Below are 17,060 nucleotides of genomic sequence, written 5' to 3'. Positions count from 1 at the left end.
GGGGAAGTTGCTGAGTAGGTGTTTAGTAAATACATGTAGAATTGAATTATCAAACAATAACTTTTAGAAGCTGAAGCTGGCCTTTTAGGTTAATTGCCTGTGAAGATTGTTTCCAGATAATACCTAGTATGTCTTTTGTAGTAAAATGGGCTATGCACTGTTTTTTTTTGTTTGTTTTGTTTTGTTTTTTTGAGGCATAGTTTTGCTCTTGTCACCCAGGCTGGAGTACAGTGGCACAATGTCCACTCACTGCAATCTCTGCCTCCTGGGTTCAAGCAATTCTCCTGCCTCAGCCTCCCTAGTAGCTGTGATTACAGGTGCTTGCCACCATGCCTGGCTAATTTGTGTATTTTTAGTAGAGACGAGGTTTCACCATGTTGGCCAGGCTGGTCTTGAACTCCTGACCTCAGGTGATCTGCCTGCCTCGGCCTCCCAAAGTGCTGGGATTACAGGTGTGAGCCACCATGCCCTGCTGGCTATGCACTGTTCTAAGTATTTTACACTTATTAACTCATCTATTAATAACCTACGAGGTGAGTAATATGCCCATTTTGTAGATGAGGAAAGTGAATCTAGAGAGGTGAGGTCACCTGCAGATAACACACATCTGGTAGGGGTAGAGGTGGGATTTGAACTTAGGCATTCTGAGTTGATAGTCTTCTGCACTGTGAGCCGCCATATGCTCTATTCCCCTTTATCCTAAAAATAAGACAGTAAAGCACTAGGTATTGAGTGGTTCTCTATATTGATTTTTAAGTGCTTAAATGCTTAAATGCTCGAATGAGTGTGGCTCCATGATGAGTTGTTTCTGAGATCTTTGGGTTAGCATTAAGGAGCAATAGTGTTGACTTCATGGGCACGTGCCCTGAATAGTCACAAAAGACTGTGTGAGAGCTTGTTTTCATGCTATCCTGTAACATCTTGAAGTTTTAAATTTTTTAACAAGGGGCTCTGTATTTTTCTGTACTGGGTCGCACAAATTATATAGCTTGTCCTAAGAAGGGACAATACCTTATGCCCATTCCCCAAAGCCCCTGATATCTCTTACTGTACCTACTGAATTAGGATTCAGGTGGCCATCTGACCCATATGGTATTTTTTTTTCTTTTTCTTTCTTTCTTTCTTTTTTTTCTTTTTTTTTTTTTGAGACTATGTTTCACTCTTGTTGCCCAGGCTGGAGTGCAATGGCGTGATCTCGGCTCACTGCAACTTCCGCCTCCCGGGTTCAAACGATTCTCCTGTCTCAGCCTCCTGAGTAGCTGGGATTACAGGCATGTGCTACCGTGCCTGACTAATTTTGTATTTTTTTAGTTGAGACAGGGTTTCTCCATGTTGGTCAGCTGGTCTTGAACTCCTGATATCAGGTGATCCGCCTGCCTCGGCCTCCCAAAGTGCTGGGATTATAGGTGTGAGCCACTGCGCCTGACCCTATGGTATATATGTATATATTTTATGTGCTTATTTGTCCAAAGTTATTTTAATATTCTCTGAAGAGTGTTGAAAAGGAAATGTGCTATTGACTGTATGTACATATCTAGAATATGTAAAAATGTGTTCCTTTTAATTTTTAAAAGTTGAATCATATGCATTACAGACATGTTGTTTGAAATGAAAATTAACACTTTTGTGGAAGACAGGCTTTTAATAACTGATTGAAGGGACATAGGCTTCTTTATAGTCAGTGAAAGGTATGTTTATGCTTATTTGGTTTTCTAAAACTCAAAGCACTTGGAAGCATCTAGAGTTAGATTACTATGTCTCCTAAGATTCCGAAGGACTCCATTAAAAACAATTTCAGATTGAGAATCATAGAATTTTAGAACTAGAAAGACTCAATAATTTAATCCAAAACTCTTCATTTTCCTAATGGCCTGTACAGGTTCAGAGACTTGCTCAAGGCCACAGAAAGAATCAGAGCTTCCTGATCGCCAGTCTTGTCTTTTCTACCTGTCTTTTACATGTAATTCCATAGTTATAATATGTAAAGATGTTAGCAGCAAAAACCCAGTACTTAGGGGCACAGGAATCTTAGAGCATTTTATAGTTTGCACTGTAGCCTTGAATTTTTATGGGTTCTGTTTCCTTAACAAGATCACAAAGTCAGATTTTTTTTTTTTTGGTCTGTTATATACGCAAGCACTGTGCTTGGCACAAATAGTACTTGATGAGTGCTTGTTGAATGACTTGAATAATTAGGGAGCTACTAGTGACAAGGATATGCAGTGTGGAAGCACAATGAACAAACTGAGGCCGTTATTCCTTTAAGATGCATAGTCTTCTGTTTTGATTTGGGGGTCCTACCTAGGCTAAAATTCCCTATTTCTCTGTGGCCCAGTGTACTTCTGGTAATCTTGAGACTTCTAATGTTGGACAGACTGGATGCCTACTAGAATCGTTTACTCAGCCTCTGCCTCATAAATAATTTGTATTATATCACGGAGTGATTTCAGAAATGTTTTGTTTGATTTACTTTGGCAAATGGAAACCTTTTGTCTTTGTCTCTGTTGGGAGTATAGGAACTCTTAAAACTTACTGAAAACTTATAAAGAGTATAAGCTGTTTACTATAAGTGAATTTGTGAGTTATCTAATGTAGATTGTTAAATGCCGTAATTCGTTGTCCTATTTTCAGCTCTACTCAATGATAGACTGAAAGTTTATTTAGGTACAAAGCTATTTTTGAGAGAGAGTAGTTATCTCAAGAGACTATTCAAAATTACATTTCTAATTTATTTGTATTAGAATTCTGATGTGTGTTTTAATAATTTAAAGGTTTTGAAATTATGATTTCTGGAACATTATTTTGAAGTAAACACATATATTTTTCCCCCTTTGTATGAAAATGAAGGATAGCATTTGGGTGCTTGTTCTGAACCCTCAGTCCTTTGCTCATCTATGTAAATTGTGATTTCTTATTCAGATTTCACATGACCACGTCAGCATATTATCTTCTAAAGCGTTTCTCCTGATAATAATTAATTCATTACCTCTGTCAAGGAGGAAAACTTTGGTACCCCCCCAACACATAAACAGTATTTAAATAAGAGGGGCCCAACATTGGTGACTTCTTGAGAATAAAGGTCATTCCTTTTGAGATTAGAGTGCAAATAGCTTCTTAGAAGGTTTTTTTTCTTTCAGGCAGATTAAAGGCTCACATAGAAAAGTTATTCAGTGTTCAGGACTGTCTTTAGTTGCTTTGTACACCTGGCACTGTTTTCATATTTCCTTGATTTAGTTTTTTGCTCTTTAATGAATGAAGCTGACTAGGGATTAGCAAAAATACTAACCTTTTAAACTTGATGCTGATTGATTTGGACAAATTACTTAACATCTCTGTTCTTTAGTTTTGTTTTTGTTTTTAGTCTGTAAAATGGGGAAGTAATAGGACCTATTTTATAGAATTTTGAGATGATTATTTAAGTGTTCATATAAAGACCTTAGAACTATACCTAGCTCATAGTATGTATTTATTGTTAGCTACTGATGTTATTATTACAAAAATGGTGAGATCATGTCATGTTAGGGTTTGGTGAGTTAAGGCTTTACTTGAGGATTTGAAAAAGGAGGATTTGAGCATTTCGGAAGGATTATTAGAGTTTGGCTAAGTGGAGAAAAGGAGGGCATTCTAAATTTGGTGGAATGACGAAAGAAGATGAAGTGGGGCCAGGCGCAGTGGCTCACGCCTGTAATCCCAGCACTTTGGGAGGCCGAGGCGGGTGGATCACGAGGTCAGGAGATCGAGACCGTCCTGGCTAACATGGTGAAACCCCGTCTCTACTAAAAAATACAAAAAATTAGCCGGGTGTGGTGGTGGGCGCCTGTAGTCCTAGTTACTCAGGAGGCTGAGGCGGGAGAATGGCGTGAACCTGGGAGGCGGAGCTTTCAGTGAGCCGAGATTGCACCACTGCACTGCAGCCTGGGCGACAGAGCAAGACTCCGTCTCACACACACACACACACACAAAGATGAAGCAGAAAAGGGGAGGAAGACAATATCATAAACCGTTTTGGCCAGCGTGGATGACGTAAGTGTAGCAGTGAGATTCTTCTGAGAGCTGGAAAATAAGTAGGTGAAGAATGCCGGTAGCCTGAATTGGCCTCCTCTCACTTGGCCGTTTCCCAGGGAAGCCTCAGATGAAAGGGATTATTATCGTGCTTAGGGATCCCCTGATACACTGCTGTGCTTCTGTGACTCCACCCCACCTTCTTCTGGGCCTAGCACTCTCTTCCCACAGACTGTGGAGCTCAGGGGCTTTATCAAAGCTTTAGGGAAAGGAAAGATTTTTGTTTGTTTTGTTTTCTCCTTCAGAAGTTGTGTGAAGTCTTTTGGTATTTTTTAATTTCAAAATATTTTAAAACATTTTCTTTTGAGAGAGAACTCTTGATCTTGTCTTGGAAGCACTTATTCTCAGGGACAATCAAGGTCTGCAATGAAAAGTAAACATTTTAAGTTAATTGTATTAAACCACAGTCTGCATAGTAAGGAGCAAAACAAAAGAAAAAAGCATTATTTTTGCCTTGCTATTCACCCTAAACTCTCAGTATGTGTATTTCTAATTACTGTTTCAGTCCTCTTCCCAGAAAGAATCTTAGACTACAAAATGATATAAATTTTATTACAGTACGGGCATCACATCACAACTCTACCACTCTGTTAAGGATTCCTGAATGTTTAAAATGAGTAACTTCGGAATATGTGGTTTAACATCGACTGGGACCCTTAAATTATTTTAGTCCTTATGTTTTAATTTGTATAAAATAAATGGATGCCCTATTTTTAAAGGTATTTATTTTCAAAAATGTTGTCTATTTTTAAAGGAAAAGTATTGGAATTTATAGAAAAAGTATTTTTGTGCTTATTTTCACAAGTTACATTTATAACATTTCTGCAGACTCAGCAGGGTTAATGGCAAGGTGCTCTTTAATAGGTCGTCTCATTCAACATTCTGCTCTTAAATAGATGAATTATGTTACCTCCCCTTATTTTTCTGAAAAGGTACTCTTACAGTCAGGGTACATAGCAGTCATTTCACATACTTCAAACTTCTTTTACCAAGTTGCCAATGAACTTTACATTTCAGCATTTCTTCAGTGTTTTCCCATCATATTTATTAAATATCTATTTGCCTTGGTGAATAGGTTCTTCTTGTGAGACTGAGTCTCGCCCTGTTACCCAGACTGGAGTGCAGTGGCGCAATCTCAGGCTCACTGCAACCTCCACCTCCCAGGTTCAAGTGATTCTCTTGCCTCAGCCTCCCAAGTAGCTGGGATTACAAGGTGTGTGCCACGACACCCTGCTAATATTTGTATTTTAAGTAGAGACAGGGTTTCACCATGTTGGCCAGGCTGATTTCAAACTCCTAACCTTAAGTGATCCGCCTGCTTTGGCGTCCCAAGGTCTTGGGATTACAGGTGTGAGTCACCGTACCCGGCCATGAACAAGTTTTAATTCTAATACCAACTCTCATCAGTTGGTAATGATTGGTTTAGAGCACTGTTTTGAGAACTCTGAGGCAATATCTATGTTCAGCAGAAAGGAGTAACTTGGTTGATTAGTATTGTGTGGCCCATGAGCATTGGATGGAAGAGTGGGGGCATACATATATTTGTCAGTCTCCCCAAATAAAAAGAATAGTAATGAATGGGGATATACTGCTACATTAACATTTAGACCTTTGATTCATTACTTCCTATGTGAAGATTATCTACAGTTGTTTTTCTGAACTCCCTTGAAACAGCTTATGATTTTCCAAATTGTTATTCGTCCTGACCTTCTCTGCCAAAGTGAATTTAATCATTCCTTTATTGTTGCTACAATAGCCCTTTATTACCTTAATTATAATACTTATTTTTTCTTTGTTAATCATTTACTTGTCTGATTCCACTGTGGATTATGAACTTCTTAAGGAAACGACAGTATTTTACTTACTTTTATATTCTTAATACCTAACGCGATACTTGGTACCTGTCACATGTGTTCAAAAGGTGAGATCATTTGTTATTTCCTTAATGACCTGGCTGTTGTCTTATATGAACAGTGAGGCATTTATGTTTGAAAATGAAATGACTGGGTCTAAGTCTTAGGGTGATAATCGTGTGAATCAAAAGAAAAAGGCAGATGTTTTTGGTAAGAACATACAAGTTAATGTTTTTGGGTTCCCTAGAGTGCAGAGAGATTTGGGGTTTGAGTCTCCATGGCTGAGAGAATGGTAGTACCATTAGAAAAATGAAGCTGGGGGAAGTGGATTTGGGTAGATGAGTTTGGTTTTGGAGATGTTAGGTTTTGATTGAAAATATTTATTTATTAACTAGTTTTAGATGGAGGACTGGAGATAAGGATTTCATAGTGGGCCAGTTGGATCACTTCTTCTATTATGTGCCCCATAGCAACCTACCTTATTATTATTGCTTGTTTAATGCCCATCCTTCCCCCAGTAGGACAGGGAACACATCTTGTTCAAAGCTGTATCCTCAGTTATAAACACAGTTGTTTCACATGCTAAGCACTTAGTAAATAATTGTTCAGTGAATTAATGTCTGCACTATTAGTTGATTTAAATGCATCCAATGTTGTCTTTAATTTATACTGCTACTTAGAATTATTAGTTTTAAAATTACCATGGTAATCAGTTTCCATAGAATCATTGGAACTTTAAACTTGTCGAGATCTTAGAAATCTTTGACAGGCCTCCCACTTGTACCTTGGAACTACTCAAAGTCATTACTGACCACACTTCAGATTTAGCCATGTATAATATTCACTGATATGTAGTTCCATAATTACTTATTCAAAGAAATATGCATATAGTGCATGTCTTTCAGGCTGCTAACAAGATAGAATGTTGGCTTGAATGGACTTGTGGAGGTTCTATAGCAGTCTTCTTCCTTGTCCTCTGTAGTACTTTGACCAGTGGCTGTGTGAAAGTCTCGCAAGGAGATGAAATTTTATTTATGCTTGCTGGCAACATTAGGTTTTTTTTTTTTTTTAATTGATTAACATGAGGTTCTGGATAAACTTGATTTTGTTTCCTCCTTCCTTGTCCATGTTAGCATGGTGAATCATGCTGGTTGCAGGTTTGCCACTATTTGATAGTGTAAATGTAAATAATAGACACACTCTTATGAGCTATTGGGCTTAGTTCAAACACTGTCTTCTATAAAACAAGTTTGGAAAAGGTGTATCTGCCTGAGACTACAATCAGAGGATATAATTTTAAAATTCACAAAGTTTCATTTTTAAGATGTGGACATTCATCATCAGATTAAGCTTCCAGTATTTATTTTATAGCTTCCTGAACAGAGATGATGCACTTTTGTTTAGAACACACAACAAATATTCCCTTAATTTGAATTAGTGTGTTTTTTTTTTTTAATTCTTGTTTGCTTTTCTTGTTTCAGTATCAAGATAAAGAGGAAGTTGTCTTATGGATGAATACTGTTGGGCCCTACCATAATCGTCAAGAAACATATAAGTACTTTTCACTTCCATTCTGTGTGGGGTCAAAAAAAAGTATCAGTCATTACCATGAAACTCTGGGAGAAGCACTTCAAGGGGTTGAATTGGAATTTAGTGGTCTGGATATTAAATTTAAAGGTAAGTAAACCTTAATAGTCCTTACAATGCAATTTGGATTGTAGACAAGGGTTTCATATTTTGGCACTATTGACACTGGTGTTGGATAATTCTTTGTTGTATGGAGCTGTTATGTACATGTTAGGATGTCTAGCAGAGTCCCTGGCCTGTACCCCCCAGATGCCAGTAGCACCTTCCAGTTGTGAAAACCAAAAAAGTCACCAGACATTGCTAATTGCTGTCAGTTGAGAACCACTACTTTAGACTCTAAAATGTGTTTTAGTCTGTAAATGAGGTGTATTGCATTTAGGAAAGTATATTAGTAATTAACAAAGATTTCCTTTGAATATTTATAAGATAATAAAATAGATAATTGTTAATAAAATTGTATTTCCTTAACATATTTCCTTCTGAAAAGTGTTGTCTAGTAAACCCCCTATTGATTAGACACATGTGGCCCGGGAAGACCTTCATGGATATTTAACAAAGTAATTTCTGGAGGTCTGAGGCTGTAATGGGATGCGTGGATACTTAAAATTCTTGTGTGACGCCTCAAATTCAAACTTGTACCATAGGCTTAACATGTATTATTTATCAGTGTTGTATTAATTTATCCTGTTAATACCTATAGGATATTTAAATTTTAAGTCAAAGACTTGTTAAATTTGGGGAAAATACTTCATCGTATCTAGTTATTATGCAGGTATCCATTTATCAGGTCCTTTGAGTGTGTTTATACTTTTCATTTTTCTCTGTGAAGTTTGTCAGAGAGTGTATTTCCTGCACAGGCATTTTTAGCATGGTGAACAGAAGCTTGAGTAATTGAATTTTTGCAGGATCTTTGATTAGGTGTCTTGGTTTTTGAATACATCATGGATCCTGTAAACAGGAGCTTTGGATTTTAATCCTCCTTTTTTTTTTTTTTGGTACTGTATTCATTTTAGTAAAATTGTTTACTGCAGTTTTGACTTCATTGTCTCCATGTGTAAGATGAATAGTAACTGACTTCTGGTATTTTTAGTACTAAAGATGTTATTATTTAGTACTTTGAGGAGAAGAATGTCAGTGAGATTTTAAAGATAATGTTACTTTAATTTCGATTTGTTAAATTTTATTCTTGTTTTTAAAATTGCTCAGTTATTGTTGAAAATAGGTATACCGTATCTATTTACATTCTCCCCCCTCCCCATCCCCCCGTTTATAGTCTTTGGGGCTTAATTATAAAATTAAGTTGTAAATTTAAACCACAGTGGCATGGCCTGTAATTTTATGAATCACTGTAAACATACCTTTGAGGCTTGTGTTTTAATTTAATTAGGTAATTTAAGTATTTAGTCACAAATAACAAGAAAACTTAAACTAGAAAATGTGATCTTTGAGATTTGGTACTATATGTAATCGTCTGCTTTCTCTTTTTCCGTATTTGGTGTGCATTTCTAGTTTATTAAAGAGGAACCAACAAGAGAGAATAGGCAGAACTCCTGAGTCCTACTTTGCTACTGTGTACAGATTTCATTAGTTTTTGAGATCCTCACCCATATTTACTAAAGAAGAGTACTTAATTCAGCAATCTTTTTTTTTTTTAATACTTTAAGATCTGGGGTACTTGTGCAGAACGTGCAGTTTTGATACATAGGAATACACATGCCATGGTGGTTTGCTGCACCCATCAACCCGTCACCTACGTTTGGTATTTCTCCTAATGCTATCCCTTCCCTAGCCCCCCACCCCCTGACAGGGCCGGGTGTGTGATGTTCCCTTCCCTGTGTCCATGTGTTCTCATTGTTCAATTCCCACTTACGAGTGAGAACATGAGGTGTTTGGTTTTCTGTTCTTGTGTTAGTTTGCTGAGAATGATGGTTTCCAGCTTCATCCATGTCCCTGCAAAGAATGTTAACTCATCCTTTTCTGTGGCTGCATAGTATTCCATGGTATATATGTGCCACATTTTCTTTATCCATTCTATCATTGATGGACATTTGGGTTGGTTCCAAGTCTTTGCTGTTGTGAATAGTGCCACAGTAAACATACATGTGTATGTATCTTTATAGTAGAATGATTTATAATTTTTGGGGTATATGCCCAGTAATGGGATTGCTGGGTCAAATGGTATTTCTAGTTCTAGATCCTTGAGGAATTGCCACACTGTCTTCCACAATGGTTGAACTAATTTACACTCCCACCAACAGTGTAAAAGCATTCCTGTTTCTCCCATCCTCTCCAGCATCTGTTGTTTCCTGATTTTTTAATGATCGCCATTCTAACTGGTATAAGGTAGTAGCTCATTGTAGTTTTGATTCGCATTTCTCTAGTGACCGGTGATGATGAGCTTTTTTTTGTATGTTCGTTGGCTGCATAAATGTCTTCTTTTGAGAAGCGTCTGTTCATATTCTTTGCCCACTTTTTGATGGGGTTGTTTGGTTTTTTCTTGTAAATTTGTTTAAGTTCTTTGTAGATTCTGGATATTAGCCCTTTGTCAGATGGATTGATTGCAAAAATTTTCTCCCATTCTGTAGGTTGCCTGTTCACTTTGATGGTAGTTTCTTTTGCTATGCAGAAGCTCTTTAGTTTAATTAGATCCTGTTTGTCTATTTTGGCTTTTATTGCCATTGCTTTTGGTGTTTTAGACATGAAGTCTGCCCATGCCTATGTCCTTAATGGTATTGCCTAGGTTTTCTTCTAGGATTTTTATGGTTTTAGGTCTTACGTTTAAGTCTTTAATCCATCTCGAGTTAATTTTTGCTTAAGGTGTAAGGAAGGGGTCCAGCTTCAGTTTTCTGCATATGGCTAGCCAGTTTTCCCAACACCACCTATTAAATAGGGAATCCTTTTGTCATTGCTTGTTTTTGTCAGGTTTGTCAAAGATCACATGGTTGTAGATGTGTGGTGTTATTTCTGAGGGCTCTGTTCTGTTCTGTTGGTCTATATATCTGTTTTGGTACCAGTACCTTATTTGGCAATCTTAAACCCCCTTTTATTAGTTCCTAGAGGCTGAGATGGAGAGATTATTTAAATAGAGGAATATGGTTTTCATGGGTAAAGAAGTGGGATTTATTTTCTTTTCAGACTAAGCTAAGCACTTTCAGATTAAAAAAAGAAGAGCTAGCCAAGTGTTATTCCCTGAGAGTTGCTGATTCCTAGGGGTCTTACCAAGTTTCCACCTCCAGCATGGATATGCTGCTAAAGAAGCTGCTAAATTAAGTGGTCCAGATGAAATAGTAGATGCTGATTAGATTTATCTTCGCCCTCTACTGTAGCTCTTTGCTTGCTGTGTTCAAAGATAAAGTCGATCATGCTTTGAAAAGTGTTGTAGGTTGTCACTTAGCCAAACATTAAAAAAATAGGATGCACCTTAGAGATTGTGTCATCCAATTCCCTCTCCCAGAAGCCCAGAGATAAAGTGATTTATCCATGGTGTATCGTAGCATACTAATAATAGAAACTGGAACATTATGTCTCTTGTGAACTATAGGAATATTTACCGTGTGTTCTTAATCTTTCATCTCTTGAATATTTGACTTTTAAAGATTCTTCTGAAGGCATATTCAAATAAAATTTTGGAAATGTGAAACCAGAGAAAACTATACGTACACATACATACATGTTTACATATGCATACACACACATCTTTTTTTAACCTATTAGACTGTGTCAGGCTCCATGGATTGGTATCGTTTTGTAAAATGATGATTACTAAAGAGACTATTTAAAGGAACTAATGATAGTCTAACTCTAATACAGGATGCCTCTCAAGATTTTATACACAACTTTTTCTTGCTAATAATCTTATATTCTAGCACTAGACAAAAATGCTAAATTGAGACCATTTTAAGAAAATGGGCCAGGCGCGGTGGCTCACCCCTGTAATCCCAGCACTTTGGGAGGCTGAGGCGGGTGGATCACGAGGTCAGGGGGTCGAGACCACGGTGAAACCCCATCTCTACTAAAAATACAAAAAAAATTCGCCGGGCACGGTGGTGGGCGCTTGTGGTCCCAGCTACTCGGGAGGCTGAGGCAGGAGAATGGCGTGAACCCAGGAGGCGGAGCTTGCAGTGAGCTGAGATTGCGCCATTGCACTCCAGCCTGGGCGACAGAGCAAGACTCTGTCTTAAAAAAAAAAAAAAAAAAAGAAAATGCGTTAAATATAGAAGGGCTGACTTAGATTAGGCATCCTTGAGCCTGGTTTGAATTCAGTACCCTCCAGTTTTAGAGGGTACCTCTTCGAACCTTGCCATCATAGTGTGGAATAGAAGATGTGCTTTAGGGTCAGAGAGACTTGATGCATCCAGCTTTGCCTCTGCTTACCTGTGTGGTCATGGGCAAATTGTTCAACCTCTTTGATCTCGTATTGCTTATCTGTGAAGTGTGGGAAATAATATTTATTTGATCGAAGTGTCAGGTTTAAATGAGAATGCATGTAGAGCATTTATCAAAGTTCCTGGTATATAGTTTATATTCGAAAAGTGGTAATTAGGAATACTAATAGCACATAGCATGGGTCTGTAGCTCCACCTTGATTTTGTATTTACGATTATGAAATGTTAGTTTATTGATTACAGACTTTGATTTATCCCCAAGCTGCTGTACTAGCCTGTTATAGTAGCACTCTTATTCACCATTGCACCCTTAGCTGTTAAGACATAGTATGCTTTTAATAAATTGTCTAGCATCCAGACGGTTTGTGCCTACTTGTTGTTACGATAATTGGTTCATTATGGACATTAGATGATCTGGAATAGTAATTCTTAACCAGAAGAGATCACCACCCATCCGTCCTTCCCCTTCCCCCATTTGAGAATTCTTGCAGTATAATGAAGTGTGTTAATTGTGGAAAAATCAGTGACTTCTACAGGACTCCTTCCTTCTGTTTATTTTATCGATCTTCCCTTGAATTTTTTTCTTCCTTGAATTTCGCAACTTAACAGAGGGCTGAAATTATTTTACAAGTATTTTTTTCTTTAGAGTTAATTGTTAAGTTGAGAGTACTGCAGGTAGGAAGAGATGCCAAGGGCTGTTTAGAGCCTTATATATTTTTAGTTTAGTGATTCTCAATCTTGGCTGTTCTTATCTTCACCATGCGGTATTTCCCTCCAGATATCTGCCTGGGGAATATAGGCCTGATTGCCAAAAGGTGAGGAAAAGGGACTGGGGGGATGGTAGGTTTACTTATTCAGCCGGAAGATGTTTACTTCAGGTAATCCCCCATGCTGTTTTCAGTCCCTAGCTTCTGCTATTCCTGCTGTCCCTGATTCTGGAGCCCCTCTGGTTTAAGTTCTCTAGAGGAAGGTGCCACTGGTCTACTACAGGGATAAGTTGAGGGTACAGTATGTGTCTAGCTGTATGAAGGGTAGAGGAGGGGACCTGGCCATCTAACCCATTTATGTACATATTTAATATTTTAATACAGTTCCCTTTGTGTTTAGTCCTACATCTGTCCCCCTAGCTTTTGAGGTCTGTAGTGCCTCCAAGTCCTGAGTGTCTCTTGGGTTCTGTGACACCAGTTCCCTCCCTTACAGGCATCACTCTCCTGTTATGTTTTCTCCTGCTTTATTAGTAGTTTGTCATCTTACAACCGTTTTCCATTTCCTAAAAATTTGTTAAAATCTTTTTCCCATGGCCGGGGGTGGTGGCTCATGGCCTGTAATCCCAGCACTTTGGGAAGCCGAGGCGGGTGGATCACTTGAGGTCAGGAGTTCGAGACCAGCTTGGCCAACATGGTGAAACCCTGTCTCTACCAAAAAAATACAAAAATTAGCCGGGGACCTGTAATAATCCCAGCTACCCGGGAAGCCGAGGCAGGAGAATTGCTTGAATCCAGGAGGCAGAGGTTGCAGTGAGCCAAGATTGTACCACTGCACTCCAGCCTGCGTGACAAGAGCAAAACTCCATCTCAATTTTTTTTGTTTTTTTCCCACCGTTGTCTCTTCTCTTTGTCTCTGTGGACTTAACATACTTTTTATTCCTTCACTGACATTTTAATGGGTTTTAAGAGAGAGAAGAAATATACTTGTGGTTAAATCTGCCTTGTTTGTAAGTGGAAGTCTGGGAACTTGGTACAATATGTTGTCCTGTTGGTTTCAACCAAAGTGTTTTAGCCAGACCAAATAATTTGAATCTGAAATTTGTCAATTCTTATTACCGATTTCTTATACCTTGTACTAACAGCAGATTTGATAAATATGGGCATCTCTTTTTTGTTTTTTAAAGGAATATATATGCATATATATTTTTCTGATTGTAACAGTGATAGAAGTTCAAATACACAATTTAGTAACTACAGGAAAATATAAACCTGGATATAATTACCATTAACATTTTGTTGTATTTTCTTCAGTCCTTCTGTGTTTGTGTTTATCCACATTGTTTTAAATATGTGAAAGTTGAGTTCATTCTACATATATTTATTAAAGTTTATTTAACAAATCCTTATATAGTGCATATTATGTGCCGGACACTGTTTTAAGCACATTCTAACACATTTAGTAAGTTATATATAGTTTTTGTTCTGCTTTTGTTCTCTTGACATTTTATGAGCTTGTCCCCATACTGTTAATTACTCTTTTAAATGTGGCAACATACTATTCTGTAACTTGGATACTGTGGTTTTTTTCCCCCATTTTCTTTCTTTTTTTTGAGACGGAGTCTCGCTCTGTTGCTAGGCTGGATTGCGGTGCAGTGGTGTGATCTTGGCTCACTGCAACCTCACGCGATTCTCCTGCCTCAGCCTCCCAGGTAGCTGGGATTACGGGCACACGCCACCACGCCAAGCTGATTTTTGTATTTTTAGTAGAGACGGGGTTTCACCATGTTGGCCAGGATGGTCTTGATCTCCTGACCTCGTGATCTGCCTGCCTCGGCCTCCCAAAATGCTGGGATTACAGGTGTGAGCCATTGCGCCCGGCCTTTCTCCCATTTTCTAGTTGTTTGATATTTTGATCCTTCCTTCCATCCTTCTTTGGTTTTCTTTTTCTGCTATTGCACATAAGTATTTCAGTACATCTCTGAATCTGTTATTAGGATGAATTCTTGGAAGTAGAATTACTGAATCAAAGGGTATAAACATATTTAAGGCAGTTGTTGACACATGTTGCCAAATTGTCGTTTAGAAAAAATTACACTGTTTATACTGCTAGTCAGGTTGGTCAGTTAATCAGTACTCTTTATATAGTTATTTAATTAACTGTGAATATATCAGTTTTTCCAGTTCTTGTTTTCCTCTAGTTAATTCAGCAGTTATTGAGTATCTTACTGCATTCCAGCACGATGGTAGGCTCTGGGTATGCATAGTTCAACCAAGAGCTCTGGCTTCTGGGGTCTTCAGGCCCTCTGAAATTCTACGTTAATTTTATGTGAATGTGCATTTTCAGGGGGTGGGCAAGGGAAAGATCACTTTCATTGGATTCTCAAAGGGGTGTGAGGCCCAAGGAAACTTAAGAACACTTTCTGTGAATATATTGGCACTTTCAATCCTTTTTTTCTTTTTTTGGAGACAGGGTCTTACTGTCACCCAGGCTGGAGTGCAGTGGTCCCATCACAGCTTACTGCAGCCTCGACCTCCCCGGCCTCAGCCTTCTGAGTAGCTGGAACTATAGGCACACACCACCATGCCTGGCTAATTTTTCTGGTTTTTGTAAAGATGAGGTTTTGACATGTTGCTCAGGCTGGTCTCGAACTCCTGGGCTCAGGGGATCAGTCTGCCTTGGGCCTCCTAAAGTGCTGAGATTCCAGGTGTGAGCCAGCACGCTTGGCCTGATGCTTTTAATTCTTAACTCTGGGAAGGAGATAGCATAGATGCTGTCTCTGTTAAGGGAACTGAGAGGTTCATGGAAGTTAAATAACTTGCTTTTTATTCACATAGCTACTAGATACTAGAGCTCAGAATAAACCTCACCTTTCTGCCCATTTCTCTATAACTTTTTATATATTGATTTCTTTGAAGAGAGACTTTGCCAAGTGCTGCTGAATTAGAGGTAGACTGTTTCTCATTTTCCAAATGTAATGTTATCAAAAGAGAAAGTAAACAAAGTATGGCATACTGTGTTCTTAGAGAACTCATGAATAATTACCACTTTCTTTTCTCAGTGCTTTCACTGCCTATTCAATTGTTAGCCTGGAGTTTTATTGGGAACTGATGGTAGATTATTGGGGTGCATAGTGTCCAGAATCTACCTAACCTTGCTTTCTGTTTGAAAAATAAGGTTAACATTTGCCACTTTACTACTTTGTTTTTTTCCCTCGTAAGAACTATTTACATTAGTAAAATCTTAATTGCATCTTTTTCAGAATTCATGGATGTGTGTTTCACCTTCGAAAGATATAGCCTATTATAATTTTAAAGCACTGATTTATGCTGGTAGATTTTTCAGATTGTTTTCCAGATATATAGAGTGCTGAATAATGATTTGGCATATTCATACACATTGCATTAGTTATTTTCAAATTGGCTCCCTCCTGAGGGAAATGCTGTTTCAGTTGGGCAGCCAGAGACTCTTCAGTTATTTGTGATGTTTGTATTTGTCTACCTGCCTGGAAGATGAATTTCATTAAGATATGACCAACCAACACCCTTTTTATATAGCCTGTCATAATAATAGATTTTCCCTTTTAACATGCTTCGTTTCTAGACTTTACATGAGTTAAAGTTATTCTTCAAGACCTCTTTGTCAATCCTTCTGAGAGACACTGTTCAAAAATTTCATTTGTTTATAAATTGGCATTTTCTCCTTCTGTACAAACATACACACTATTCATACACAGATGCATGTATAGGTACATACCCTAATATGTGTAGTGATTTCCTTTGCCAAATAAGAAAATTATGCTCTTAAAATTTTTTGTTTATTTGTTTAGTGCCTAGTCTGTGCAGGGTACTGAAGCAGGCATGGCTGGAGATAAAAAGGATATAATCAGTTATGGACAAAGCGCTCAAGACCTAATGGTGTTTTTGAGGAGCAAGATACTGGTATGAGGTAGAAAATGGTACAGGCCTACATGCCATAAGGGAGGTATGGGAGTGGGTATAAGAAGTGTGGGGAGTGGGGAGTCAGGGATTCCTTTGTGGAGGAAAGGGCTGGGGGATGGTGAGGATTTTAGACTGGACATTTTAGGTAGAGTTAACAGCATGAGCAAAAAAGTTCAGAGGCCAAGAGAGCACAGGGTGTGTGGGAATTGAGTTTGGCTTGAGCGTAGAGGCAGATATATCAGTTGGGAAACAAAGAGTTGGACTAAAATCCAGACTCTGAGGAATCTTTTAAAAGCTTTATACAGATTGGCCGGGTGCGGTGGCTCACGCCTGTAATCCCAGCACTTTGGGAGGCTGAGGCGGGCGGTTCACCTGAGATCAGGAGTTCAAGACCAGCCTGCTAACATGGTGAAACCCTGTTTCTACTAAAAATACAAAAAATTAGTCGGGCCTGGTGGCATATGCTTGTAATCCCAGCTACTCGGGAGGCTGAGGCAGGAGAATCGCTTGAACCTGGGAGGTGGAAG

General features: G+C 38.3%; 1 protein-coding gene across 2 annotated transcripts in view, besides 3 other annotated features; it reads left to right on the top strand.

Moving 5' to 3' along the window:
* TM9SF3 (transmembrane 9 superfamily member 3) overlaps positions 1-17,060 on the top strand; it is a 68,903-nt gene that overhangs the window by 2,787 nt on the left and 49,056 nt on the right. For both annotated transcript variants that reach the window (NM_020123.4, XM_011539976.3), the window contains exon 2: positions 7,397-7,592. In NM_020123.4, coding sequence (NP_064508.3) covers positions 7,397-7,592 — 196 coding nt within the window. The remainder of the gene's footprint in view (positions 1-7,396; positions 7,593-17,060) is intronic.
* Positions 3,891-4,465: an enhancer, noted in NCBI's record as "H3K27ac-H3K4me1 hESC enhancer chr10:98339518-98340092 (GRCh37/hg19 assembly coordinates)". NCBI's record gives its function as "activates a minimal SCP1, AML or CMV promoter by ChIP-STARR-seq in naive H9 embryonic stem cells {active_cell/tissue: H9 hESC(naive)}" and the evidence as "EXISTENCE:reporter gene assay evidence [ECO:0000049][PMID:30033119]".
* Positions 11,032-11,532: an enhancer, noted in NCBI's record as "H3K4me1 hESC enhancer chr10:98332451-98332951 (GRCh37/hg19 assembly coordinates)". NCBI's record gives its function as "activates a minimal SCP1, AML or CMV promoter by ChIP-STARR-seq in primed H9 embryonic stem cells {active_cell/tissue: H9 hESC(primed)}" and the evidence as "EXISTENCE:reporter gene assay evidence [ECO:0000049][PMID:30033119]".
* Positions 11,533-12,033: an enhancer, noted in NCBI's record as "H3K4me1 hESC enhancer chr10:98331950-98332450 (GRCh37/hg19 assembly coordinates)". NCBI's record gives its function as "activates a minimal SCP1, AML or CMV promoter by ChIP-STARR-seq in primed H9 embryonic stem cells {active_cell/tissue: H9 hESC(primed)}" and the evidence as "EXISTENCE:reporter gene assay evidence [ECO:0000049][PMID:30033119]".

Source organism: Homo sapiens, chromosome 10, assembly GCF_000001405.40.
Source record: "Homo sapiens chromosome 10, GRCh38.p14 Primary Assembly".
In the NCBI taxonomy this organism is placed as follows: domain Eukaryota; kingdom Metazoa; phylum Chordata; class Mammalia; order Primates; family Hominidae; genus Homo; species Homo sapiens.
Note: the sequence above shows the minus strand (reverse complement) of the source record. Positions and strands in the feature narration are given on the sequence as shown.